This window comes from Homo sapiens, chromosome 5 (genome assembly GCF_000001405.40).
Source record: "Homo sapiens chromosome 5, GRCh38.p14 Primary Assembly".
Classification (NCBI taxonomy): Eukaryota; Metazoa; Chordata; class Mammalia; order Primates; family Hominidae; genus Homo; species Homo sapiens.
This window is the reverse complement of record NC_000005.10, coordinates 70513700-70539939: the sequence shown is the minus strand read 5'-3', so window position 1 is coordinate 70539939 and position 26240 is coordinate 70513700. Positions and strand designations below refer to the sequence as shown.

The following is a 26240-nucleotide window of genomic DNA, read 5'->3' as shown; positions in this document are numbered from 1 at the left end:
TACTTTGAATCATTTCAAGAAAATTAGCAGTGAGTTATGTCAATCAAGCCATTGGTTTGTATTTGGTGGCACATTTACTCTGTATTATTTCACACTAGAACCATCTGAGTTAAGTTTTATTATTTGCTATATGTTGCAGATGAAGAAACTGAAGCTGAGAGAGGTTTAGTGAATGACTAAAAAGGTTGTCAGGCTGCAGGGAAAAAAACAAAACAAAACTGTACGACTAGCCTGCAATGCTTCCCAAAGTATGTAGCTTATTATTATTGGTCACTTTTTGAGTACAAAATGCTGTGCTATGTAACAGAATAATACAATGTACATATACATATCAATTAACATAAGCATAACTGTAATCACATATACTGATAAATAAAAATATAAAGTAATATATGGTAATGACCCAACCATTTGCCTAAGTTTCATGTATTACAGAAGTTTTGAGGAGGGACTTCAGCTGTATGCAAATGAGCAATTCGGGTCGTACAGTTGATTACCCATTAGTTCAGAATTTTAATAATTTAAAATATATTTATTAAGAACCTAACAATTGGAAGACCTTACAATAGGTGGGAAAATTCGACAGATGAATAATGCTTAGGAGATATCAGCATGTTTTGGAAGGATATTCCCATGAAGAGAAAAAGTATCGTGGGAAGTGTGGGAAGTGTTATGGTGCGAGAGTAATACAGGTTCCAGCATGTGTTTACATTATTTTGTTGGAGGTGTTGGGGAACCTTTCATGGAAGGTGTGTGGTAGACTGTTGGACAGGTTTCCTCAACTTTCGTTCCACTCTTTGAAGAGGTTAGAAAACTAAAACAAAACAAAACAAGCAATGCAGCTTCCCTTGAGCTAGCTTTATGAATGCAGCTTAGACCACTTACCGATTGTTTGCATATGAATCAGACTTAGAAAAATGGAAGAGATCAAAGCCTGTCTTGCTATTGTTGATTCTGGCAAGTGAAATCATGGGGACAATAGTTCAGAAGTAGTGGAAGTGGTAGGATTCAATATCCTTGTGCCTAATCCCCAGTTTCATGGGCATAAGAGGCTTAAAGTTTTAATAGCAGGAGCATCTTTTTGACCCAGGATTGCAGAAATGATTGCGTGCCTTTGAATTCAAGAACTCAAAACCTTCCTCCATGCCACAGCTACTTTAGTTATTTTAGCCCTTCCTATTGTATATGTATGAAATGCACTTTCTGCTTAAGATACCTATTGCGGTTTTTATTTCCTTATTAAAACCTTGGAAAAATATAGCACTTAAATTATGTTTTGTAGAAATTCACTAAGCAAATAAAGCTAAAGGGGGAGAGAGTTAACCTTCTCTGCCCCCTTTTTATCAGAAGTTAGTTGTAGAAGAAATACACAATTTTTGCGCAATGTTAGCACCATCTAAGTTCTGTAGGTCTGGAACACAGACTGGTTAAATGAGCATTTCAGGAGCACTATAGTTGCAAAGTTAAGCAGTCACCACAATTTTATGTGTCATACAAAGATTTTTAACTTTATGTTTAAGCAACGAGCCTAGAAGCAAATGGTATTTCCATCAAGAATCGTCTCATATAAAGTAGAGCGTTTTGGAAAATGAAGTTATTAATAGATAAAAACATGTTTATGCAGTTGGTTTCTAAGTATGACAAACCTATTTCTTGGTAAATTGCAAGTCCATTCCACCTGTGTTTGTAGGCTCATTTGCCTAAAAGTCTTGGGATTTTTTCTGATGATCTATTAAATTTTCTTTCTGATTATCTTTTCTAATGCTGTAATAGCATTTCTAACACTGTAATGAAAGAGAACAAAAGTACACGCTTGCTCATCATTTACTAATTCTAAAAATATATATTGAATACATCTATGTAGCAGGTACTGTGGTAGGTGTGGAAGATAGTTGAGACAGGTAACAAGCCCAACATTACGGAGCTTAGCATCACCACCTAGAAGAGTTTTTAAAAAACATAGATAAGTGAATAATGATTATAAAGACAAAGAGATTCTTGCCATATAATTACATATAAGCAAATTTAGGATGTGATGAAAGATTTTGATATTGGTCTTCTGATTTGGCTGTAGGATGAAGTGTTTATAAGTCATCCCAAGGAAGAAACAATTCAGATGAGAACTATTCAATGGATTTGCAATAACAATCCAAAGATGGAAGAAGACACTTCTAGGTAGACAAAATTGCAAGTATAGAGAATGTAAATTAAGAGAGAGCTTAGCTTTCAGATGAATTAAAAGATTGTGGTGATCAGAATGTAGAGATTGACGAGAGACAAATGAAATAAAACTAGAAGGACAAGTAGAGATTTGTGGGTCAAGTTTTTAAATTTTATTATAAATGCACTGATACTGTTCTGAACATTTTCTTACACATGGAAATTTAATGATTATGGCTATTGAAAAATGTAACTCTTCATTTATATTTTTCCGAGAATGAAATCGGTGGAATTGCTGGGGGGTGAAAATGTCCAATGCGAAACAGGAGGCTGATTTAAGAAGGGATACTGCAAAATTGGTCATGATGGCTCAAACTGCTGTTCATAATAGAAGAAAATGGATAGAGTTACATATGGATGAGAGTAAATTGACAAGGCTAAATGCTAAAACGTGGGTAGTGACAGAAAGTAGGTGTCAAAATAGACTTCCAGGAAAAGAAAAAATGGGTCTACAAAAGAGCCAAATGCTGATGTGGGTTACATGATCCTGAGCAGATGCAGATGTAATTGGTTAAGTAAAGTAAGTTCTTAAGATAGATTTGGCCTGGCGCTATACATTCTAGAGCCCCTGAATATAAGTGGGATATAAAACCATGGGAATGACTGTATTTGTCTAAGGAGAGAATTTGGCAGAAGAAAAGGAGACATAAGATGAAATGCAGAGGAAATTCAAATTTAATTGGCAGGTGTAGGAAGACAAGGAGATGACAAAAGGAACTGGAAATGAGTAATCAGAGACAGAAAAGTAAAAGTAAGAGTAGAATGTCATGGAAGGCAAATAATTGGAATGTTTCAAGAACAGGGAAATGGGCAATAAAGAGAAGAAAAAAATAGTGACCAGAGGGTATAGTAATGTGTAGAAATTCATCCTGTGTTAGGTTTGATTGCTTAGACGTTTTATATAAAAATCTTTCCCAGAGAGTAATAAAACAGAAGTGAGGTTAGAGAAAGAACATACGATTTAGCCAAAAGGTGGGAAAAGTTAGGAAATGAAGAATAAATATGTTTAAAGATAATGTTATGGCTACTCAATGTACAACCTCTTTTCTTTCATTATTTTTAATTGTCATATTTAAAAATAGTAATTACCACTTTTAAAAATTGTCTTATTATTTGTTACATAAGAAAATGCATTAATTCAAGCCACATAGTATCATTTATATTATGACTGTCGAAACATTACTAGAATTACTAGAACTATTAACCTAATGGCCTGAAAATTTCAACTCACTTCCCTAGCTGTCCTGATGATCATTAGTGAAAGGAAAGACTCCATTAAATAATGCTTACTTATAGAGAACTGGTTATATCTGTCTCATTTCCATACATATATCTGTATAAATTAATTTGATTAATAAAACAAACACAAGGCACAAACAACAAAACACAGTTTATAAATGTCATTGAAAAATGCATGCCTGTACAATTTGGGTATTTGTAATTGTAAATTGATATACTTCATTTTTTATCCAGGAGTTACTTAGATTGAAACTTTACCTAATGTATGATAAAATAATACGTGATTAAATTTAAAAACATGATGAATTTATTTAAAATTGGCTTCAATAATGTCAGAAAGTAATAAAATAAAATGATTCCTTCAAAGACTGCACCTGTTTATTGCCTGAGATTATCTCTCTTGGCCACAAATCAATATTACTTTCTTTCATTCATCAGTGATAAAGCTTTTCAATAATTCTAATTTTAAAGGATGATTACAGCAAGTATATAGTCATTGATTGCTTAAAGGTTGCAGCTAAAATGAACACAATGGTCATTTTATTTTTAATAAATGAGCCCTTTTGAAAAGTCAAGCATTTTTCCTCTCACAAAACTTTGTGTAATAAGATTATAGATTTGATCATGTATGAGTTTGCACTGTGTGTGTGTATATATGTGTGTGATTTCAGCGATAAAGTTCACTGTTCCACAGCTGGCAATTTCTTCTGCTTAATTGAAAATTCCGTTTTAAAATATTTCTTTAAAGTTCTAAAATGGGTTTAAATGGGTTCATGAGCTGTAATACTATTAAAAATATATATATCTACATATTTGTTGATTCTTCTCAGTTTAAGAAGTGGAGCTTCATACTCCTCCCCTTGAAGGCAGGCTAAGCTGAGTGACTCCCATCTAAGAAATAAAACACCGCAGGATTGGAATGTTACCTTGTGAGACAAGGTCACAAAGGCTAGGGTTTTAATTTTGAGTGAACTAATTTGCTCCTTACTGGTGTTTCTCTCTCTTTCTCTCCTTCAACTCTTTACGAGCCCAGCCACCATGCAAATAATTCCAAACTATCTTTTCTAGAAAGCTCACATGAAGAACCGAGGCATCCTATCTGATATCCAGCCAAATGATTAAACATTCTAGAAGCAGACTATGATGCACTGAATTTGTGAAATCCTAACCCCCAGTGTAATGATAGTAGGAGGTGGAGCTTTTGGTAGATGATAGTCTGTCTTCATGTTGGGGATTAGTGCCTTGATTATTATTTTTTGTTTTTATTTTTATTTTTATTTATTTATTTATTTATTTTTGAGACAGAGTTTTGCTCTGTTACCCAGGCTGGAGTGCAGTGGTGCCATGTCAGCTCACTGCAACGTCTGCCTCCTGGGTTCAAGTGTTTCTTCTGCCTCAGCCTCCTGAGTAGCTGAGTAGCTGAGACTACAGGTACGCACCACCACACCTGGCTAATTTTTGTATTTTTAGTAGAGACGGGGTTTCACCATACTGGCCAGGCTGGTCTGGAACTCCTGACCTCGTGATCTGCCTGCCTCAGCCTCCCAAAGTACTGGGATTACAGATGTGAGCCACCTTGCCCAGCCGGGGATTAGTGCCCTTATAAAAGAGACCCCAAAAAGCGTCCTTGCCCCTTCTGCCATGTGAGCTAGAGGACAGTAATCTATGAACTAAAAAATGGGCTCTGACCAGACACCAAATCTGCAAGCACCTTGATTTTGCACCATCCAGCCTCCGGTACCATTAGAAACGTTTCTGTTGTTTATAAGCTACCCTGTCTATGGTATTCTGTAGCGACAGTGCAAACAAACTAAGACACGGACCTTCCAACACAAGTTAAAGGCTTCAGGGGATGCTGCCTGGGTCAACAACATGACAGCAACCTTTACTCATGAGAGACTTTGAGTCAGAACCACCTACCCAAATCCATCATTTCCCTGACTTCTATGAATTGTGTCATACATATTTGTTATTTTAAGCCATTAAGTTTTAGGGTAATTTTTAAATGGAAAAATACATGATCATAGGTAAACTATAATTAATAGAAAAATCTAATGCCAATAATATTTACCATTGATTGACCGTCAAAACTCCATTAATTATTTGCTTTCCATTTATATTTATTTTTGGATTTCTTTTTTAAGAGAATGGCACCTGTGACAGCATACTGTTAATATTACCCTTTTATCGTACTTTACCATGCCATCTCTGAAGAATATTACAGACCATTTTGGAGCATGGTGAATAAGAAATTTTCACCTTAGGAGTTCACTTGAATAGTCATTTTTATATTTGTGACTGCAAATCACTCTTAGGGGCTGTACTTCCTTAGTACTGGTAGCATTATTATCCAATGGACTTTTATAGCTTTCATTAGGTTTTCTTTTGTTTTTGTTCTTTAAAGAACGTTTTACTTATCTTAGTATTTCATTTTTCATCTATATTATGAGGCAGTAAGAGTCTTCTGTTTTTCCAAAGTGGAGACTGCTTTATATTTATTTCGTATTGTCTACAGCTGTAGTGTTCAATACATTAGCCACTAGCCACATGTGGTTATTTAAATAAGATAAAATAAAAATTGGCCGGGCGTGGTGGGTCACGCCGGTAATCCCAGCACTTTGGGAGGCCGAGGCGGGCAGATCATTAGGTCAGGAGATCGAGACCATCCTTACTAAGACGGTGAACCCCCATCTCTATTAAAAATACAAAAAATTAGCCGGGCGTGGTGGCGGGCGCCTGCAGTCCCAGCTACTCAGGAGGCTGAGGCAGGAGAATGGCGTGAACCTGGGAGGCAGAGTTTGCAGTGAGCCGAGATGGCGCCACTGCACTCCAGCCTGGGGGACAGAGCGAGACTCCATCTCAAAAAAAAAAAGAAAATTAAAAATTAAGTTCTTTAGTTGCACTAGCCATATTTCAAATACTTGATGGATACATGTGGCTAGTGGCTAACATAAGGGATAGCACAGATATAAAACATTTCCTCGTCATATAAAGTTCTATTGGATAGTGCTGGTCTGTAGCTTATAAGGATGGTATCTTAGTCTGCTTCAGCTGCTAAAACAGAATACCATAAATTAGGTAGCTTAAACAGTAGATATTTTGACCAGGCGTGGTGGCTTATGCCTGTATTCCTAACACTTTGGGAGGCCGAGGCAGGTGGATAACTTGAGCTCAGGAGTTTGAGACTAGCCTGGGCAGCATGGCAAAACCTTGTCTCTACGAAAATTAGCTGGGCGTGGTGGTGCACGCCTGTAGTCTGAGCTACTTGGGAGGCTGAGGTGGGAGAATTGCTTGAACCTGGGAGGCGGAGGTTGCAGTGAGCCATGATCGCACCACTGTACTCCAGCCTGGATGACAGAATGAGACTCTGTCTCAAAAAAAACAAAAACAAACAAAAAAAAAAAAACAGATATTTCTCACAGTTCTGCAGACTGGAAGTGCAAGATCAAAGTGTTGGCAAATTACGTTTCTTAAAGAGGGCCTGCTTCCTAGATTGGAAATGGCCATCTTCTCTCGGTATCCTCACATGGTAGGGAGAAAAGCAGCTCTAGTGTCTCTTCTTATAAAGGAAGTAATGCCACCATAGGGGCTCTATTCTCATGACCTCATCTAAACCTAATTCTCTCCTAAAGGCCACGCCTCCCAGTATCCTCACCTTGGGGGTTAGGGCTTTATCATATGAATTTTTTTTTTTTTTTTTTTTTTTTTTTTGAGACAGAGTCTCGCTCTGTCTGTCACCCAGGCTGGAGTGCAGTGGCACAATCTCGGCTCTCTACAAGCTCCGCCTCCTGGGTTCACGCCATTCTCCTGCGTCAGCCTCCTCAGTAGCTGGGACTAAGGCGCCCGCCACTGCGCCCGGCTAATTTTTTGTATTTTCAGTAGAGACGGGGTTTTACCATGTTAGCCAGGATGATCTCGATCTCCTGACCTCATGATCCACCCGCCTCGGCCTCCCAAAGTGCTGGGATTACAGGCATGAGCCACCGCGCCGGGCCTATCATATGAATTTTGAGGGAACACAAACATGCAGTCTGTAGCAGATGGTAATAGGCTGACATATTACACTTGTTGATGTAAATCTGATAGGTTTCTTTCTCTCCAAGGACAGCTTTTTAAATATTTAACAGTATCAATAATTTTTCAGGTTCTGTGAGAATTTTATAATTTATAATTTGCAGACTTAATGTATAATCTATTTTGTCCTAACAATTACAAATATATTTTTTATTTCAGATTGTATATATTCCTACCAGATGGAGATAATTACAGCTTTAAAAATTTTTATTTTTTCATTTTATTTCACACATTGACATTAAATTTTTATGGACACATAATAACTGTACATATATATGGGGTAGAATGTGATGTTTTAATACATGTACTCAATGTGTAATGATCAAATCAGGGTAATTTGCATAATGATTTTTCTGTAGGGAGAAAATTCAAAATCTACTCTTCTGGCTATTTTCAAATATATAATATGTTATTGTTAACTATACTCATCCTACTATGCAATAGGACACCAGAACTTATTCCTGGGTTCTACATCCGTTAAGGCAACCAAGGATTGGAAATATTGGAAAAAAAAATTGCGTCTGTACTGAACATGTACAGACTTTTTTCTTGTCCTTATTCCTTACACAATATAGTACAATAACTATTTGCATGACATTTACATCGGATATTATGAGTGATCTAGAGTTGATATGAAGTATATGGGAGGATGTGCAAAGGTGATGTGCAAATACTATGTCATTTTATATCAGGGACTTGAGTATCCTTTGTTACCCTCAGGAGATCCTGAAACCAGTCCCCCATGGATACTGAGGGCTGACTGTATAGTCCTATCCTCACGGAACTTTCATTCTAATGGGGGAAGACTGACTATAAACAAAATGTATGTAATAGGTGGTGGTAAGTACCGTGGAGAAGTAACAAACGGGGCAAAGTGAGTTATACAGCTCCATTCTTAGAAACCTTGGAGTACTTTTCTTAGTTTATACTCGTGGTGGTTTCCTTTTGTCTCCTTTATTACATGGGACTCTGACATGTGCCCATAGCTAGGGTGACAGTAGGATCTACCCGATAGTAGGGTGGCAGTAGGATCTACCCAAAAAGCATCCTGCTGATACAGGACCAAAGCATCCTGTTGTTCTCGAGCCTATAAAAAGAGCTAATGGTCTTGCTTCTCTTAACTGTGGCCTCCTACACTGTGTTTTGGATGATTGGTGATGTCTTGGATATTCTGTTTCTTTGGAACTTTGAATATACAACACTTTACTAGGGAATTAGCAATGGAAGCAGAGCAAAGATGTACAGAGGAAACAATGCGTAACTCTGATGGAATTGAAGTCATGAGGCAGCAGAGAGCTTAAATTACAGCTTTAAAAATTTTTATTTTTTAGAGGGAATTTACTTGGGAGTAACAGCAGTAATAGTTAACGGAGCCAGAATGCTTGAGTCATATAATTGCAAAGCAGAGTTGGGAGCAACAGATGCTAAAGAGTAGTTGCTGTAGTTCCTCTGTGGGTCGTAGGAGCAGTTGTCATATTACTATATAGCTACTGCATGAAGAAGAGTTCTTAGTGAGGCCTGGGTGAACAGCTCTTCTTAGTATTCTGTGTGACCCCATTTGACCTTTTAACAAATCCCTAAGTAAATAAATAGCCCCTCAGGAAAACTAAGTTTTTCTCTGCTGTTTTTTTGCTTGAGAGAGCTATAACTGTAATAGACTTATATTTCTGAACATTTTAGTGCTTGCCAATATTTGGTAATATTTATGTTTCCTATATTTGTAATGAACATTCTTCTTCCGGTACATTTTTTGTTAAATTATTGTTTGATGGATAAAAGTTCACCTTTTATTGTATAAAATTGACTGAGATTAATTTATACACATTGACAATGGGTAAATAGAATTTTTCAGATTATTAAAAGCTGAAGGATGCCCACGTAAGCAAAAAAAAAAAAAGAAAAAACCAACAAAAATAAACCCAAACCCCTCAAACAATTTCGAACACGAAACATTCTTCTGATGCCGGCATCCCTGCTTGCAGGTGTGAAGGGGGCAGGAATCAGCGAGGTGTCCTGGGCTGAGTCCCCGGAGTGGGAAGAGGTGGCAGGAAGGGGATCTGAGGAGGAGAACAGGGGTCCTGGTGGTCTGTGCTTCTTCCCAGACACGGGAGCTGTAGAGGAGACCTCTGCAGCAGATGCTAGGGGGGCCAGTAGGCCCAGGCAGTCTTGGGACTTGGGTCTGTCCTGCTGTGCATCCATAGTGGGTGCTTTAGAAACGGGAGGCCCACCCGAAGCCCCTGTTGCAAGTGAGGACAAAGTGTGGGAAGGCCGTGAGGGTCTGCAGTCCGGGATGGCCTTGTCCTCAACGTGCAGTGCACTGTTGATGCGCTGGAATGCCGTCTCTTTTTCCAGGTGCAGGTCTTCAGCCGTGACCCGGTACCCCAGCTCTAAGGGAGGTGGCAGCATCAAAGGCTCCCCTCGCCTGCGTGGCAGCAGGGGAATCTTGCGTCTACGGGGCCTAGAGTCCTGGGATCTGGGGGAGCCACCCGTTGGGGCGATTGTCTGCCCTGGTGCTGTATCTGCCCCCTTTTCACACCGTGTGTGACCCGAAGAGACAGCCTGAGGCCTGTCCTCACTCACTGTCTTTGAGTAACTGAGGGTCAGCTGGCAGCGGGATGAGGCTGGCCCCCTCCTCTGCTTTAGCCCCGGCAAGCCTCCCGTGGAGCTGTAGGAGCTGGAGATGGCATTTCGTTTGGTGTTCGAGCTCGTCCAGGATGTCTGGGATGTGTGGTTATATCTGATTTCTGAGCTCTGGGCGTGGAGGTCTGTCTGCAGAGGCCCGGGCCTGGGCACAAAGGGAGAGGGGCCTCCATTGTCCCGCAGGGGCCAAAATGCAGACCGTGCATCCCCGGTGACCTCGGGGACCGTTCTCTGATCATCAGGATTTTCTTGGACTCTGGGGTCCTTGTCCTGCTCAGGCATCCCTGCCCCGCTCTCCTTGAGGGCCCTCAACACTATCTTCCCTGGACACAAGTCTGGGGACAGCCGGGTGTTGTGGACCCCAAAGGGGTGACTACCTGCTCCTGGGCCCCACAGAGTCCTTGTGCTCAGTGTAGTGGCTGAGCTGGGGGATGCCCTGGAACTCGGAGCACACAGCACTGGCTTACTGTGGTACCTGTGCAGTGAAATTGAAGACAGAATCACCAGGATGGAACACAGGTCTTGCAGGATCACTTGAAACCTTCTTAGAGTTGTCTTGACACCAGTGATGTCGAGTGTCCGGGTGTTTGTAGGATGGCCTGCCACTCAGTCCAGGGGCAGGAGCAACGGGGAGATCCCACAAGCAAAGTGAACTGGGGGATGGGCTGAAGGGGCTCCAGGCAACTGAGCCCTACTCGCAGGTCCTCGGCCTTGGCCCAAACAGGAATGAGGGGCACAGAGTGCCCGGGTAACCGCTCCTGGGAGCAGTGGGGAACTGTCGGATACTTGAACTCTCAAGAGCTGGGCTCTGAGCGTCCTCGTCCAGCTGCCAACTTGGCCAAAGGCTAAGCCAGCAGATTGTTCTGTTGCCGGGCAACGCGACTTCTAAACCTGAGGGAGTGGGCATGTGAGCACATAATGGCACCAGTGACAGAGCGACCATAATGGATGAATAAGCGCAGCCAGGTACCCGCGCAAGGCACCTGCTGGCAATGGCAGGAGGCGGACGTGGGGGGTCGTGCAGTAGGTACTGGAGGGAGAGACGTGGGCACAAAGGTCGCGGGAGGAACAGGTGCCCACAATGGCTGCATATTTGCCCGTGGATCACTGAAGATTCCTGCTCTCCTGCTGAGGTGGAGACTGCAGTGAGCTGAGATCGCACCATTGCACTCCAGCCTGGGCAACGAGTGCAAAACTCAGTCTCCAGATAAAAAAAAGAAAAAGAAAAAAAAGAGGCCGGGTGTGGTGGCTTATGCCTATGATCCTAGCACTTTGGGAGGTCGGGGTGGACGGATCACGAGATCAGGAGTTGGAGGCCAGCCTGGCCAACATAGTGAAAGCCCGTCTCTAGTAAAAATACAAAATTTAGTCAGACATGGTGGGCAGGAGAGAGCATGTGCAGGGGAACATCCATTTATAAAACCATCAGACCTCATGAGACTTATTCACTACCATGAGAACAGCATGGGGGAAACTGCCTCCATGATTCAGTTATCTCCACCTGGCCCCACCCTTGACACATGGGAATTGTTACAATTCAAGATGAGATTTGGGTGCGGACAGAGCCAAACCATATAATTCTTCCCCGGCCCCTCCCAAATCTCATGTCCTCATATTTCAAAAGCAATCATGCCTTCCCCTAAGTCCCCCAAACTCTTATTTCAGCATTAACTCAAAATTCCATAGTCCAAAGTCTCATCTGAGACAAGGCAAGTCCCTTCCACCTATGAGCCTGTAAAATCAAAAGCAAGTTAGTTATTTTCTAGATACACAGGGATACAGGCATTGGGTAAATACACTCGTTTCAAATGGGAGAAATTGGCCAAAGCGAAAGAGCTACAGGCCCCATGCAAGTCCAAAACCCAGCAGGCAAATCTTAAAGCTCCAAAATGACCTCCTTTGACTCCATGTGTCACATCTAGGTGATGCAAGAAGTGGGTTCCCAGGGTCTTGGGCAGCCCCGCCCCTGTGGCTTTGCAGGGTACAGCCCCCCTTCTGGCTGCATTGAGTGTCTGCAGCTTTTCCAGGCACACAGTGCAAGCTGTCAGTGGATCTACCATTCTGGGGTCTGGAGGATGGTGGCCCTTTTCTCACAGCTCTGCTTGGCAGTACCCCAGTGGGGACTCTGTGTGGAAGCTCCAACCCCATATTTCCCTTTGACACTGCCCTAGCAGAGGTTATCCATGAGGGCCCCCCCTCCCCTCCCCTCCCCCCCACAGCAAACTTTTGCCTGGATTTCCAGGCATTTTCATACATCTTCTGAAATGTAGGCGGAGGTTCATGAACGTTAATTCTTGACTTCGGTGCATCTGCAGGCTTAACACCACCTAGAACCTGAAAGGCTTGGAACTTGCACCCTCTGAAGCCATGGCCTGAGGTGTACCTTGGCCCCTTTTACCTATGGCAGGAGCAGCTGGGATGCAGGGCCCCAAGTTCCTAGGCTGCACACAGCAGGGGGTTCTGGACCCACAAAACCATTTTTCCTTCTAAGCCTCCTGGCCTGTGATGGGAGGGTCTGCTGTGAGGGTCTCTAACATGCCCTGGAGACATTTGCCCCATTGTCTTGGTGATTAACATTTGGCTCCTCATTACTTATGCAAATTTCTACAACCCAGTCTCCTGAGAAAATAGATTTTTCTTTTCTGTTGCATCATCAGGGTACAAATTTTCTGAACTTTTATGCTCTGCTTCTTCTCGAATGCTTTGCTGCTTAGAAATTTCTTGTGTCAGATACCTTAAATCATCTCTCTCAAGTTCAAAGTTCCACAGATCTGTAGGGAACTCTAGAAAAAAATTCTTATTTTCCCTCTTTCCCGCCTATCTTATGCCCGTTTCTAATACAGGTGCACAATGCCTGCAGTGTCTTTGCATAGTAAGAGTGACTTTACTCCATTTCCCAACAAATTCCTCATCTGCCTCTGAGACCACCTCCGCCTGGACCTTGTTGTCCATATCACTATTAACATTTTGGTCAAAGCCATTCAACAAGTCTCTAGGAAGTTCCAAACTTTCCCACATTTTCCTATCCTCTTCTGAGCCTTCCAAACTGTTCCAGCCTCTCCCTGTTACCCATTTCCAAAGTTGCTTCCACATTTTCGGGTATCTTTACAGCAGCACCCCACTCTACTGGTATCAACTTATTGTATTAGTCTGTTCTCACACTGCAAATAAAGACATACCTGAGACTGGGTAATTTATAAAGGAAAGAGGTTGAATTGACTCACAGTTCTGCATGGCTGGGGAGGCCTCACAATCATGGTGGAAGGCAAGGAGGTGCAAAAGCATGTCTCACATAGTGGCAGGCAGGAGAGAGCATGTGCAGGGGAGCTCCCATTTATAAAACCATCAGATCTCATGAGACTTAGTCACTACCGCGAGAACAGTATGGGGGGAACCATCCCCATGATTCAGTTATCTGCACCCGGCCCCACCCTTGACACGTGGGAATTATTACAATGCAAGGTGAGATTTGGGTGGGGACCCATCCAAACTATGTCAGTATGTTTTGACTTCTTGCTTGATTGCTAGGTTGCATAGAGGACAAACATGGAAATTAATGAAGTACCTTAATATCTGGCTTCAGATCTTAGACAGGATCAGAGGGCCAGCTCAAATTTGCAAGGAGGGGAGGTAGATCCCACCATTTTATGGGTGAATGGCAAAATCAAACAGAAATTATGTGGGATGGGAGATACTGATGCAGCCATCATTGGAAACATTCTACTTAGCTAATTTTATGCTAGGCTTTAGGTCAAGAAGGAGAGAGAGAGCTGACATGCTGTGGTACACACTTATAGTCCCAGCGACTTGGAAAGCTGAGGCAGGAGGATTGCTTGATCCCAGGAGTTTGAGGTAGTGTGCGATGATCGTTCTTGTGAATAGCCACTAGCCACTGAACTCCAGCTTGGGCAACATTGAGACACCCTGTCTCTTAATTTAAAAAAAAAAAAAAAAAAAAAAAGGAGGAAAGAAAGTGGTCTCAGTTTTTAATGTAAATATTTTTAATGGGATACTGATATTTTAAGATTAATGTATATTGTATATCAGTTAACTGCAGGTCAATAATTATATAAAACTTAAGGTACGAAAAACATTTATTTTTGCTAACATATCTGTGAGTTGACTGTTGTTGGCTTGGTGAGGCTGCAAGCTGCAGATAGAGTCTAGGTATGTTTTCTGTGTGTTTGTTCCCCCTTGGATCAGTGGACTACCTGAGAATGTGTTTCTGTCACAGTGATAGAATCACAAGGAAACTCCAGTTCTGGAAGTACATTTTAAGCCATTGCTTCTCTCATGTCCACTAACATTCAGTCAGCCAAAGCACATACCTTGTCCATGGCTAACATTGATAGTATAGATAAATATACCTGATCTCTAGCAGGAGGAACTGCATTGTCTTGGGGAAAGGTTTTAGATATAGGGAGGGGTGATGAGTTGGGAACAATAATGTAGTCTGCCGCAAACATATTAAAGTGTAACTGGATATGGTTGCTGCAGAATTTTGAACCTTTGTTTTAATTGTGATTTTTACTCTTTCCCCCCTATCTAGTGCCCTTTTGTAATACAGTAATTATCATGATTTTTGTCTGAACTGAAATCTTCTGAGATTAGATTGTCTACGAAAATACAGTCGATCCTCCTTGTTTTCAGCTTTTGTATTTGTGAACTCACCTACTATTTTTTGTAACCCCCAAATCAGTACTCACAGCACTTTCATAGTCATGTGTTTGCGCAGAGTGTCAAAGAATTTGAGTTTGAACAGGATGATATTCTGCCTTCTTTTTCAGCTCTCATACAATAGTCAGGTATCCTTTTTGTGGTCTATTTAATGCCATGCTTTTCCTGTTTTTGTACTGTTTGTTGGTTGTTTTGCCATTTAAATTAACCCCCAAGCATAGTGCTGAAGTGCTGCTTAGCATTCACAAGTCCAAGAAGTCTGTGATGTGTCTTACAGAGAAAATACATGCATTAAATAAACTCCATTCAGGCGTGAGTGCTGTAGTGCCGTTGGCTGTGAGTTCAATGTTAATGAATGAACAATGTATATTATTTATTTATTCTTCATTTAATTAATTATTATTATTTTTTTTTTGAGATAGAGTCTCACTCTGTTGCTCAGGCTGGAGTGCAGTGGTGCAGTCTTGGCTCACTGCAACCTCTGCCTCCTGGGTTCAAGCGATTCCCCTGCCTTCGCCTCCCAAGTAGCTAAGACTACAGGCATGCGCCACCATGCCTGGCTAATTTTTTTTTTTTTTTTTTGTAGTTTTAGTAGAGACGGGGTTTCACCACGTTGGCCAGGCTGGTCTCGAACTCCAGACCTCAAATGATCTGCCCGCCTTGGCTTCCCAAAGTGCTGGGATTACAGGCGTTAGCCACTGTGCCTGGCCAACAATATATATTAAATAAGCACACATACAACAAAAGTAGGTGTTGGTAAGCTTACAAAAGTGTGACCAGTAGCTTGCTGAAACCTAACTTTTTATTTGTTCATGGAACTTTCTAGACCGTAACTACACTGAATAATGAGAATCTGCTGTAATCTTTTTAGGTGCTGTAGATGAGCCATTGGATTAAATTATTACAGTATGTTTCAGACTGCTGTATGTTGAACCCTAGTGAAATGCCTCTCAAACCTTCATAAGGATCACAATCTCATGTCCTTTTTTTTTGTTATTAAATGCCCAGTATGTGTTAGCGATTTAAACAAAATTCAAATATTTTTTTTTTTTTTTTTGAGACAGAGTCTCGCTCTGTCACCTAAGCTGGAGAGTGCAGTGGTATGATCTCGGCTCACTACAACCTCTGCCTCCCGGGTTCAGGCGATTCTCCTGCCTCAGCATCCTGAGTAGCTGGGATTACAGGCACCCGCCACCACGCTGGGCTAATTTTTGTATTTTTAGTAGAGACGGGGTTTCGCCAGGTTGTCCAGGCTGGTCTGGAACTCCTGACCTCATGCGATCTGCCTGCCTTGGCCTCCTGAAGTGCTGGGATTATAGGCGTGAGCCACCATGCCCGGCGTTGACTTCTTAATAATAACCATACTGACTGGTGTGAGATGGTATGCCATTGTGGTTTTGATTTGCATTTCTCTAATGATCAGTGATATTGAGCTTTTTCTCATATGCTTGTTGGCCGCATGTGTGTCTTCTTTTGAAGTGTCTGTTTATGTCCTGTGCCCACTTTCTAATGAGATTTTTTTTTTTCTTGTAAATTTGTTTAAGTTCCTTATCAGTGTTGGACATTAGATCTTTGTCACATGCATTGTTGCAAAAATTTTCTCCCATTCTGTAGGTTGTCTGTTCACTCTGTTGATAGTTTCTTTTGCTGTGCAGAAGCTTCAAGAAGAAAGGAATCCGATTGGTTCTGTGTCTGTCTCTTTTGGTATTCTCAGAATTATGTAGTCATTCATATAGAAAGATGATTAGGAAAATAGGACAAGAATAGCAGAAATCTACATAAAAATGTAGGAAATTAAAATTAGTTACCAGCATACAAAAAACTTCTGTATGTTATAATTACATACTATAACTCACCCCTCCTTGGCAAATATTCTCTCTCTTTTGACTTCAAAATCATGGCTTATATGTACTTTCTCTATTTCCCAGATGCAAATATAATTAATTGACTTTATTTATCTAGGAAATGTTACTCATATCTTAATTGTAGTCATTGGCTTGAGTGACGGGTTTTGGTAATTCAACTACTATTACTTGAAAGTAGTAGATTTCATAGGATACTGTTATAAAATCTTTTTAACCTCTTTTCTGATTTCAGGAGTAATTAGTAATTGTGGTTTACTGGAAAATTCAATGAATAGGGTGTTAAAGGAAGCAATTCATTAATAATATATGTAATCTATTGGGAGACTGAGGCGGGTGGATCACCTGAGTTCAGGAGTTCGAGACCAGCCTGGCCAACATGGCAAAACTCCGTCTCTACTGAAAATAGAAAAATTCGCCGGGCATGGTGGTGCATTCCTGTATTCCCAGGTACTCGGAAGGCTGAGGCAGGAGAATCACCTGAACTCCAGAGGTGGAGGTTGCAGCGAGTCAGGATCGCAGCACTACACTCCAGCCTGGGTGACAGTGAGACTCCATCTCAAAAAAAAAAAAAAAAAAAAAAAAAAAATTAAAAAATTAAATTAAAAGCGGGCTGGGCGCATTGGTTCAGGGCCGGGCACGGTGGCTCAAGCCTGTAATCCCAGCACTTTGGGAGGCCGAGGCAGGCGGATCACGAGGTCAGGAGATCAAGACCATCCTGGCTAATGTGGTGAAACCCCGTCTCTACTAACAATACAAAAATTAGCTGGATGTGGTGGCAGGTGCCTGTAATCCCAGCTATTCCAGAGGCTGAGGCAGGAGAATCACTTGAACCTGGGAGGCAGAGGTTTCAGTGAGTCCAGATCATGCCACTGCACTCCAGCCTGGGTGACAGAGCGAGATTCTATCTCAAAAAAAAAAAAAAAAAAAGCAACAGAAGCAAATGAGAGTGCCTGGGAGTGGTCATTGTGGGGCCTTCCCGTTTGTGTGACCCAGGTCATGTCCCTCCCTAAGCCCTGGTCTCTCTTGCCTCCTGCAGGGCTGGTGAATTACCAGATCTCCGTCAAGTGCAGTAACCAGTTCAAGTTGGAAGTGTGTCTTTTGAATGCAGAAAACAAAGTCGTGGACAACCAGGCTGGGACCCAGGGCCAGCTGAAGGTGCTGGGTGCCAACCTCTGGTGGCCGTACCTGATGCACGAACACCCCGCCTACCTGTACTCGTGGGAGGTAATGGTGGTTTGGGACTTGCGTAAGGGAGGTCTTTTGCCCCCATCTGGTAGCCCTGGCTTCAGCAGGAGCCCAGGACAGGTGAACGGGCAGGTGTGGTCCTCTGAGCTTTCTGATGTTTCCCACCCTTGGTGGGAGGCCCAGATTTTTTATTTATTTATTTATTTATTTATTTATTTGTTTGTTTGTTTTTGTGATGGTCTCACTCTGTCACCCAGGCTGGAATGCAATGGCCTGATCACAGCTCACTGCAGCTTTGAGCTGCAATCCTCCTACCTTGGCCTCCTGAGTAGCTGGGACTACAGGCACATGCCACCATGCCTGGCTAATTAAAAAAATTTTTTTTGTAGGCCGGGCATGGTGGCTCACACCTGTAATCCCAGCACTTCGGGAGGCTGACGCGGGCGGATCACTTTAGGCCAGGAGTTGGAGACCAGCCTGGCCAACATGGTGAAACCCCGTCTCTACTAAAATATGAAAATTTGCAGGGCATGATGGTGCACGTCTGTAATCCCAGCTACTCGGGAGGCTGAGGCAGGGGAATTGCTTGAACCCAGGAGGCAGGGGCTGCGGTGAATTGAGATCATGCCGCAGCACTCTATCCTGGGTGACAGAGTGAGACTGTCTCAAAAAAAAAAAACTCCTTTTTATAGAGTTGGGGTCTTACTAGGTTGCCCAGGCTGGTCTTGAACTCCTGGACTCAGGTGATCCTCCTGCCTTAGCCTCCCAAAGTGTAGGGATTCCAGGCATGAGCCACCTCGTCTGGTCAAGGAGAAGGCCTGATTTTGAAGGGCAGGTCCCAGGGTCAGCCAGTGAAGGGCAGAGCCTCTGGTTGCTGCTTCTCTGCAGGCCCAGTGGCGACTTCTGGGGTGCATGCACGAGGGGTCTTCCTGCTGTAGGGCAGGCCAGATGGGGCTCAGGCTGTCGGGGCGCTCACACCTGGCGCTTTGGCTGTCGTAGGTGCGGCTGACTGCACAGAAGTCACTGGGGCCTTTGACTTCTACACACTCCCTGTGGGGCTCCGCACTGTGCCCGTCACCGAGAGCCAGTGGGTGAGAGCCAGTTTCATTTGCGGTAGAGGCAGCAGAGGTTGTAGAAATGCTCCTTGAGGCAGATGCCACACCCCAATTTCATGGAGTGATTTGGGCTGAGCCGAGTCTGCAGCAGGCAGAAGGCTCTGAGATGTTGTCCTAGCCTGGGCAAAGGACAATTCAGAGCTCGGGGGAATAGGGGTGTGCTCAGCACGACTGGGTGGACAGGCCGTTTGTTGTGAATCGTACAGGCTTCCAGGAGCGGGTGCCTGAGGCTTCCAGACAGGCTTTGGGAGGTGGCCAGAGGAGATGCCTGTTTCCGGGGCAGGAAATGGAGGGAGGGCCCAGGCTGGAGAGGTTCAGCCAGGCTGTCACAAGGCTTTGAAGCTTCCCATCTGAGAGCCTGGCTATTGGAGAGTGTGGGTTTGGAACTTGAGGCTAGGAGGTTCTATTCTGTCCTGTGCCAGCCACAGCCTTCGGATGGGCAGAGCAATGATGGGGGGAAGATGTAAAAGAAAAGAACTGAGGAAAGAAGAAGAAAACCAGCTTCAACAACGGTCTAGGCCGGATGCGGTGGGTCACGCCTGTAATCCCAGCAGTTTGGGAGGCTGAGGTGGGTGGATCACCCGAGGTCAGGAGTTCGAGACCAGCCTGGTCAACAGGTAGTGAATCCTGTCTCTACTAAAAATACAAAAATTAGCTGGGCATGGTGGTGGACGTCTGTAATCCCAGCTACCAGGTAGGCTGAGGCAGGAGAATCGCCTCAGGTGAACCAGGAGGCAGAGATTGCAATGAGCTGAGATAATGCCACTGCATTCCAGCCTGGGCTACAGAATGAGACTCTGTATCTCAACAAAACAAAACAAAACAAAAACACAACAGTCTGTTCTGTGGAGGCCTTGGGCAGATGCTGGGAGCTCTGAGCACGGACTGGTCCCTCTGTTGGGAGCCTCTTCCCTTCATCCCTCCTGGTTAACTTGACTCAGCATAAAGGCCATTTCTTCTAAGAGCCTGTCCCTGACTCTCCAATCGGGGATGTGTCTGTTGTCTCATAGAGTGCCCAATTCCTGCCACCACTTGTCATTTCCATTCGCAACATTTCTTTCATTGTTTGTTTTTCAGAGTCAGGGTCTCACTCTGTTGCCCAGGCTGGAGTGCAGTGGTGCAATCATAGCTCGTTGCCATCTCGACCTCCTGGGCTTAAGCGATCCTCCCCACTCAGCCTCCCAAATAGCTGGGACCACAGACGTGCGCTGCCTTGCCAGGCTAAATTTTAATATTTTTTTTTCCCCACGAGTCAGAGTCTTGCTCTGTCTCCCAGGCTGGAGAGCAGTGTTGCGATCTTGGCTCACTGCATCCTCTACCTCCTGGGTACAAACAGTTCTCCTGCCTCACCCTCCCGAGTAGCTGGGATTACAGGCTCACGCCACCATGCCCAGCTAGTTTTCTTCTTTATTTTTTGTTGAGATGGGGTTTCACCATGTTGGCCAGGCTGGTCTCGAACTCTTGAGCTCGTGATCCACCTGCCTTGGCCTCCCAAAGTGCTCACAGGCTTGAGCCACCATGCCCGGCCCTAATTTTTAAATTTGTTGTAGAAACAAGGTCTTGCTATGTTGTCCAGGCTGGTCTCAAGCGCCTGGTCTCAAGTAAGCCTCCCAAAGTGCTGGGGTTCTAGGCTTGAGCCACCTCGCCTGGCACTTGCACCGTTTTTCTGTGCATGCATCTCCACTCCCACTGCCCAGGACCTGTGGACTTAGATTTGAGTCATTACTGAGCACCTAGCACCCAGCCTCATGCCTCCCTCCCACCTCGCACTACCTGTTTGCTTGATGCATTAATAAATATTCCACCTGAATCCACAGCCCATTCACTCCTGTGTTCAAGAGCTATTTCAGGAAGTGAACCTCATTTCTGGCAGTGTTCAGTCCAGTGACCTCAGCTCTGTGTACCCGGCAGGGTGGCTACGCCTCTGGGGGAGTTGGATTCAGGGGTGGGGGAGAAAGAGTGTTGTTAGAGAGCTCGGTCTAGGACTAGAGGAACGTGCCCTTATGTAAAATACATCTCAAGTTAGGGAAGAAAGCAGCGGCTCTGTGCTTTGTTGTTTTTTTTTTTTTTTCTTTTCTTTCTTTCTTTTTTTTTGTTTGTTTGTTTGTTTGTTTGTTTGTTTGTTTGTTTGTTTTGGGGCAGGGTCTTGCTCTGTGGCCCAGGCTGGAGTGCAGTAGCGTGATTTCGGCTCACTGCAACCTCCACCTCCCGGGTTCAAGCAATTCTTGTGCCTCAGCCTCCCGAGTAGCTGGAGTTACAGATGCGTGCCACTAAGCCTGGCTAATTTTTGTATATTTAGTAGAAATGGGGTTTTGCCATGTTGGCCAGGCTGTTCTTGAACCCCTGACCTCAGTGATCTGCCTGCCTCAGCCTCCTGAAGTGCTGGGATTACAGGCGTGAGCCATCGTGCCTGGCCCCCAGTTGTGTTCTGGCAGGGGAAGATGGGACAGAGAGGATGGGAGGTTGTCTGAGCCTTTCCCGGACTGACGGAACCTGTGTCTTCTCTCTTTTGTGGACAGGATGGTGATTGCTCACACCAAAGCCTTGGACCCCTCCCAGCCTGTGACCTTTGGGACCAACTCCACCTACGCAGCAGACAAGGGGGTGAGCCTGGGGGTCCCCACCCCATTTCTCCCTGCCTTTGCCTGGGCTTGTCCTGAAGCCTGCTCATGGGAACAGCTGGAAAGAACCATGTGCTGCCAGTCTGAGCTTTTTATTTTGTTTTACTTAGAAAGATAGAGACAGGGTCTTGCCATGTTGCCCAGGCTGGTCTCGAACTCCTGGGCTCAAGTGATCCTCCTGCCTCGGCCTTCCAAAGGGCTGGGGTTACAGGCGTGTGCCACCGCACTCAGCCGCGGCCAGTCTGTTTTCAAAGATGGTCTTTGGGTTAATGACAATTCTCTCTCTGCTTACTCTCCAGGCAGTGTGGCTTTCTGAATCCAAGGAGGCTGGGCATAGGGAGATGGGATTTGTTTGCCCGGTTTGGACTCAGCATTTTTTGTACTCGATTTAATAGACTCATAAAATGTCAAAGGTTTAAGTGAGCTTAGAGTTCATCTGGCCCAAACCTGGCTGATCAGAATCTCCAGGGGAAGTTTTATTGAAATGCCAGATCTCTGCGTTCTGAGATCCTGATTTAGTAACTCCAGGGTTGGAACCTGAGTTTTTTGTTTTTTTGTGTGTGTGTGTGAAGGCAAGGTCTTACTCTGTTGCTCTGGCTGGAGTGCAGTGGTGTGATCACAGCTCACTGCAGCCTTGAATTCCTGGGCCTAAGCAACCCTCTTGCCTCAGCCTTCCAAGTAGCTGGGACTCCGGGGGTACACCACTGTGCCCGGCTAATTTTAAATGTTTTTGTAGAGATGGGATCTCACTATGTTGCCCAGGCCAGTCTCAAACTCTTGAGCTCAAGTGATCCTCCTGCCTTAGCCTCCTAAAGTGCTGGGATTACAGGCATGAGCCACCGTGCCTGGCTGATACTAGCATTCTTTTTTATTTTTTATTATTTTTTTAAGATAGAGTCTTGCTCTGTTGCCCAGGCTGGAGTGCAGTGGCACAGTCTCAGCTCAGTGCAACCTCCGCCTCCCAGGTTCAAGCAATTCTCCTGCCTCAGCCTCCCAAGTAGCTGGGATAACAGGCACATGCCACCACGCCTGCGCTTGATCGTGGGAGGCAGAGGTTGCATTATTGTGCCACTCCATTCTAGCCTGGGCAACAGAGCGAGACTCTGTCTTCCAAACAAAGCGGAAAAAGATTATCTGCGAGAATGACTGCATTGGCCCCTTGGGTGGGAGGGCTTCTCCAGGGCAAGGTGAGGGGATGCCCAGTGCTGGGAGTGCTGCCTGGAGAGGAGTCAGTTCCAGTGGCGGGGGCCCTGGGTTTTGGCTGAGGACTGCGTGTTGGCAGCTGCTCTGCCTCTCACAGCCCTTCCCAGCTGCACACGTCGTGAGCGTCAGTGTGCAATCACAGGCCTGCCTCCTTTGGGCCACTTTGTGACCATGTTTTTTGCTTGTGGGGCAGGGTAATTTCAGGATCTAAATTGGTGCAGTTGGATGTTCTCAGCCCCGAGAGGCAGCTCTTCCCGTTGTAGGCTTTTTGTTTTGTTTTGTAGAAATGGAGTCCTACGACGTTGCCCAGGCTGGTCTCAAACTCCTGGGCTCAAGTGATCCTCCCACCTTGGCCTCCCAATGTGCTGGGATTACAGGCATGAGCCACTGTGCCGTGCTGATTTTCTTGATACTATTTTTTGTAGAGCTGGGGTCTTGCTGTGTTGCCCAGGCTGGTCTCGAACTCCTGGCCACAAGCCACCCTCCTGCCTCAGCCTCCCAGAGTGCTGGGATTACATCCCCTTCTTACCTTCTCTGTCAGAGGAGCCCCCACAGCATGTGAGTACTGAGTCATGCGGTCTTGTGGTTGCTGAACGGGCTCTGCTGCTCTGGTCCTAGGCTCTGTATGTGGATGTGATCCGTGTGAACAGCTACTACTCTTGGTATCGCAACTACGGGCACCTGGAGTTGATTCGGCTGCAGCTGGCCGCCCAGTTTGAGAATTGGTGTAAGACATCACAATCCCATTATTCAGAGCGCGTATGGAGTGGAAACGCTTGTAGGGTTTCACCAGGTAAGCGGTGTTGAACTTTCTGCTTGTGTATTCTCTCTGGGCAGAGATGCCACTTGCCTCCCCCACCATGCCATCTCTGAAGAATATTACAGACCATTTTGGAGCATGGTGAATAAGAAATTTTCACCTTAGGAGTTCAGTTGAATAGTCATTTTTATATTTGTGACTGCAAGTCACTCTTAGGGGCTGTACTTCCTTAGTACTGGTAGCATTATTATCCAATGGACTTTTATAGCTTTCATTAGGTTTTCTTTTGTTTTTGTTCTTTAAAGAACGTTTTACTTATCTTAGTATTTCATTTTTCATCTATATTATGAGGCAGTAAGAGTCTTCTGTTTTTCCAAAGTTGAGACTGCTTTATATTTATTTCGTATTGTCTACAGCTGTAGTGTTCAATACATTAGCCACTAGCCACATGTGGTTATTTAAATAAGATAAAATAAAAATTGGCCGGGCGTGGTGGCTCACGCCGGTAATCCCAGCACTTTGGGAGGCCGAGGCGGGCAGATCATTAGGTCAGGAGATCGAGACCATCCTTACTAAGACGGTGAACCCCCATCTCTATTAAAAATACAAAAAAATTAGCCGGGCGTGGTGGCGGGCGCCTGCAGTCCCAGCTACTCAGGAGGCTGAGGCAGGAGAATGGCGTGAACCTGGGAGGCAGAGTTTGCAGTGAGCCGAGATGGCGCCACTGCACTCCAGCCTGGGGGACAGAGCGAGACTCCATCTCAAGAAAAAAAAGAAAATTAAAAATTAAGTTCTTTAGTTGCACTAGCCATATTTCAAATACTTGATGGATACATGTGGCTAGTGGCTAACATAAGGGATAGCACAGATATAAAACATTTCCTCGTCATATAAAGTTCTATTGGATAGTGCTGGTCTGTAGCTTATAGGATAGTATCTTAGTCTGCTTCAGCTGCTAAAACAGAATACCATAAATTAGGTAGCTTAAACAGTAGATATTTTGACCAGGCGTGGTGGCTTATGCCTGTATTCCTAACACTTTGGGAGGCCGAGGCAGGTGGATAACTTGAGCTCAGGAGTTTGAGACTAGCCTGGGCAGCATGGCACAACCTTGTCTCTGCGAAAATTAGCAGGGCGTGGTCGTGCACGCCTGTAGTCTGAGCTACTTGGGAGGCTGAGGTGGGAGAATTGCTTGAACCTGGGAGGCGGAGGTTGCAGTGAGCCATGATCGCACCACTGTACTCCAGCCTGGATGACAGAATGAGACTCTGTCTCAAAAAAAACAAAAACAAACAAACAAAAAAAAACAGATATTTCTCACAGTTCTGCAGACTGGAAGTGCAAGATCAAAGTGTTGGCAAATTATGTTTCTTAAAGAGGGCCTGCTTCCTAGATTGGAAATGGCCATCTTCTCTCGGTATCCTCACATGGTAGGGAGAAAAGCAGCTCTAGTGTCTCTTCTTATAAAGGAAGTAATGCCACCATAGGGGCTCTATTCTCATGACCTCATCTAAACCTAATTCTCTCCTAAAGGCCACGCCTCCCAGTATCCTCACCTTGGGGGTTAGGGCTTTATCATATGAATTTTTTTTTTTTTTTTTTTTTTTTTTTTGAGACAGAGTCTCGCTCTGTCTGTCACCCAGGCTGGAGTGCAGTGGCACAATCTCGGCTCTCTACAAGCTCCGCCTCCTGGGTTCACGCCATTCTCCTGCGTCAGCCTCCTCAGTAGCTGGGACTAAGGCGCCCGCCACTGCGCCCGGCTAATTTTTTGTAGTTTTAGTAGAGACGGGGTTTTACCATGTTAGCCAGGATGATCTCGATCTCCTGACCTCATGATCCACCCGCCTCGGCCTCCCAAAGTGCTGGGATTACAGGCATGAGCCACCGCGCCGGGCCTATCATATGAATTTTGAGGGAACACAAACATGCAGTCTGTAGCAGATGGTAATAGGCTGACATATTACACTTGTTGATGTAAATCTGATAGGTTTCTTTCTCTCCAAGGACAGCTTTTTAAATATTTAACAGTATCAATAATTTTTCAGGTTCTGTGAGAATTTTATAATTTATAATTTGCAGACTTAATGTATAATCTATTTTGTCCTAACAATTACAAATATATTTTTTATTTCAGATTGTATATATTCCTACCAGATGGAGATAATTACAGCTTTAAAAATTTTTATTTTTTCATTTTATTTCACACATTGACATTAAATTTTTATGGACACATAATAACTGTACATATATATGGGGTAGAATGTGATGTTTTAATACATGTACTCAATGTGTAATGATCAAATCAGGGTAATTTGCATAATGATTTTTCTGTAGGGAGAAAATTCAAAATCTACTCTTCTGGCTATTTTCAAATATATAATATGTTATTGTTAACTATACTCATCCTACTATGCAATAGGACACCAGAACTTATTCCTGGGTTCTACATCCGTTAAGGCAACCAAGGATTGGAAATATTGGAAAAAAAAATTGCGTCTGTACTGAACATGTACAGACTTTTTTCTTGTCCTTATTCCTTACACAATATAGTACAATAACTATTTGCATGACATTTACATCGGATATTATGAGTGATCTAGAGTTGATATGAAGTATATGGGAGGATGTGCAAAGGTGATGT

At 43.9% G+C, this 26240-nt stretch overlaps 1 protein-coding gene and 2 pseudogenes across 2 annotated transcripts in view, besides 3 other annotated features; 2 read left to right on the top strand and 1 right to left on the bottom strand.

Annotated features, from left to right (window-relative positions):
* The window catches only part of GUSBP15 (GUSB pseudogene 15), a 104680-nt pseudogene that overhangs the window by 45783 nt on the left and 32657 nt on the right, over positions 1–26240 (top strand). Inside the window, exons 5-7 of the transcript NR_034021.1 lie at positions 17752–17939; positions 21535–21619; positions 23458–23632. The product of NR_034021.1 is annotated as a GUSB pseudogene 15 (transcript). The remainder of the gene's footprint in view (positions 1–17751; positions 17940–21534; positions 21620–23457; positions 23633–26240) is intronic.
* Positions 297–796: an enhancer, noted in NCBI's record as "OCT4-NANOG-H3K27ac hESC enhancer chr5:69834971-69835470 (GRCh37/hg19 assembly coordinates)". NCBI's record gives its function as "activates a minimal SCP1, AML or CMV promoter by ChIP-STARR-seq in naive H9 embryonic stem cells {active_cell/tissue: H9 hESC(naive)}" and the evidence as "EXISTENCE:reporter gene assay evidence [ECO:0000049][PMID:30033119]".
* Positions 797–1298: an enhancer, noted in NCBI's record as "OCT4-NANOG-H3K27ac hESC enhancer chr5:69834469-69834970 (GRCh37/hg19 assembly coordinates)". NCBI's record gives its function as "activates a minimal SCP1, AML or CMV promoter by ChIP-STARR-seq in naive H9 embryonic stem cells {active_cell/tissue: H9 hESC(naive)}" and the evidence as "EXISTENCE:reporter gene assay evidence [ECO:0000049][PMID:30033119]".
* Positions 6221–6721: an enhancer, noted in NCBI's record as "H3K4me1 hESC enhancer chr5:69829046-69829546 (GRCh37/hg19 assembly coordinates)". NCBI's record gives its function as "activates a minimal SCP1, AML or CMV promoter by ChIP-STARR-seq in primed H9 embryonic stem cells {active_cell/tissue: H9 hESC(primed)}" and the evidence as "EXISTENCE:reporter gene assay evidence [ECO:0000049][PMID:30033119]".
* LOC124900995 (uncharacterized) lies at positions 7883–15203 on the top strand. Its single transcript, XM_047417974.1, has one exon. It carries the CDS (start codon positions 9494–9496, stop codon positions 10076–10078), a length of 585 nt encoding a protein of 194 aa, XP_047273930.1. The 5' UTR covers positions 7883–9493; the 3' UTR covers positions 10079–15203.
* LOC728540 (POM121 membrane glycoprotein (rat) pseudogene) lies at positions 9826–10515 on the bottom strand (annotated as a pseudogene).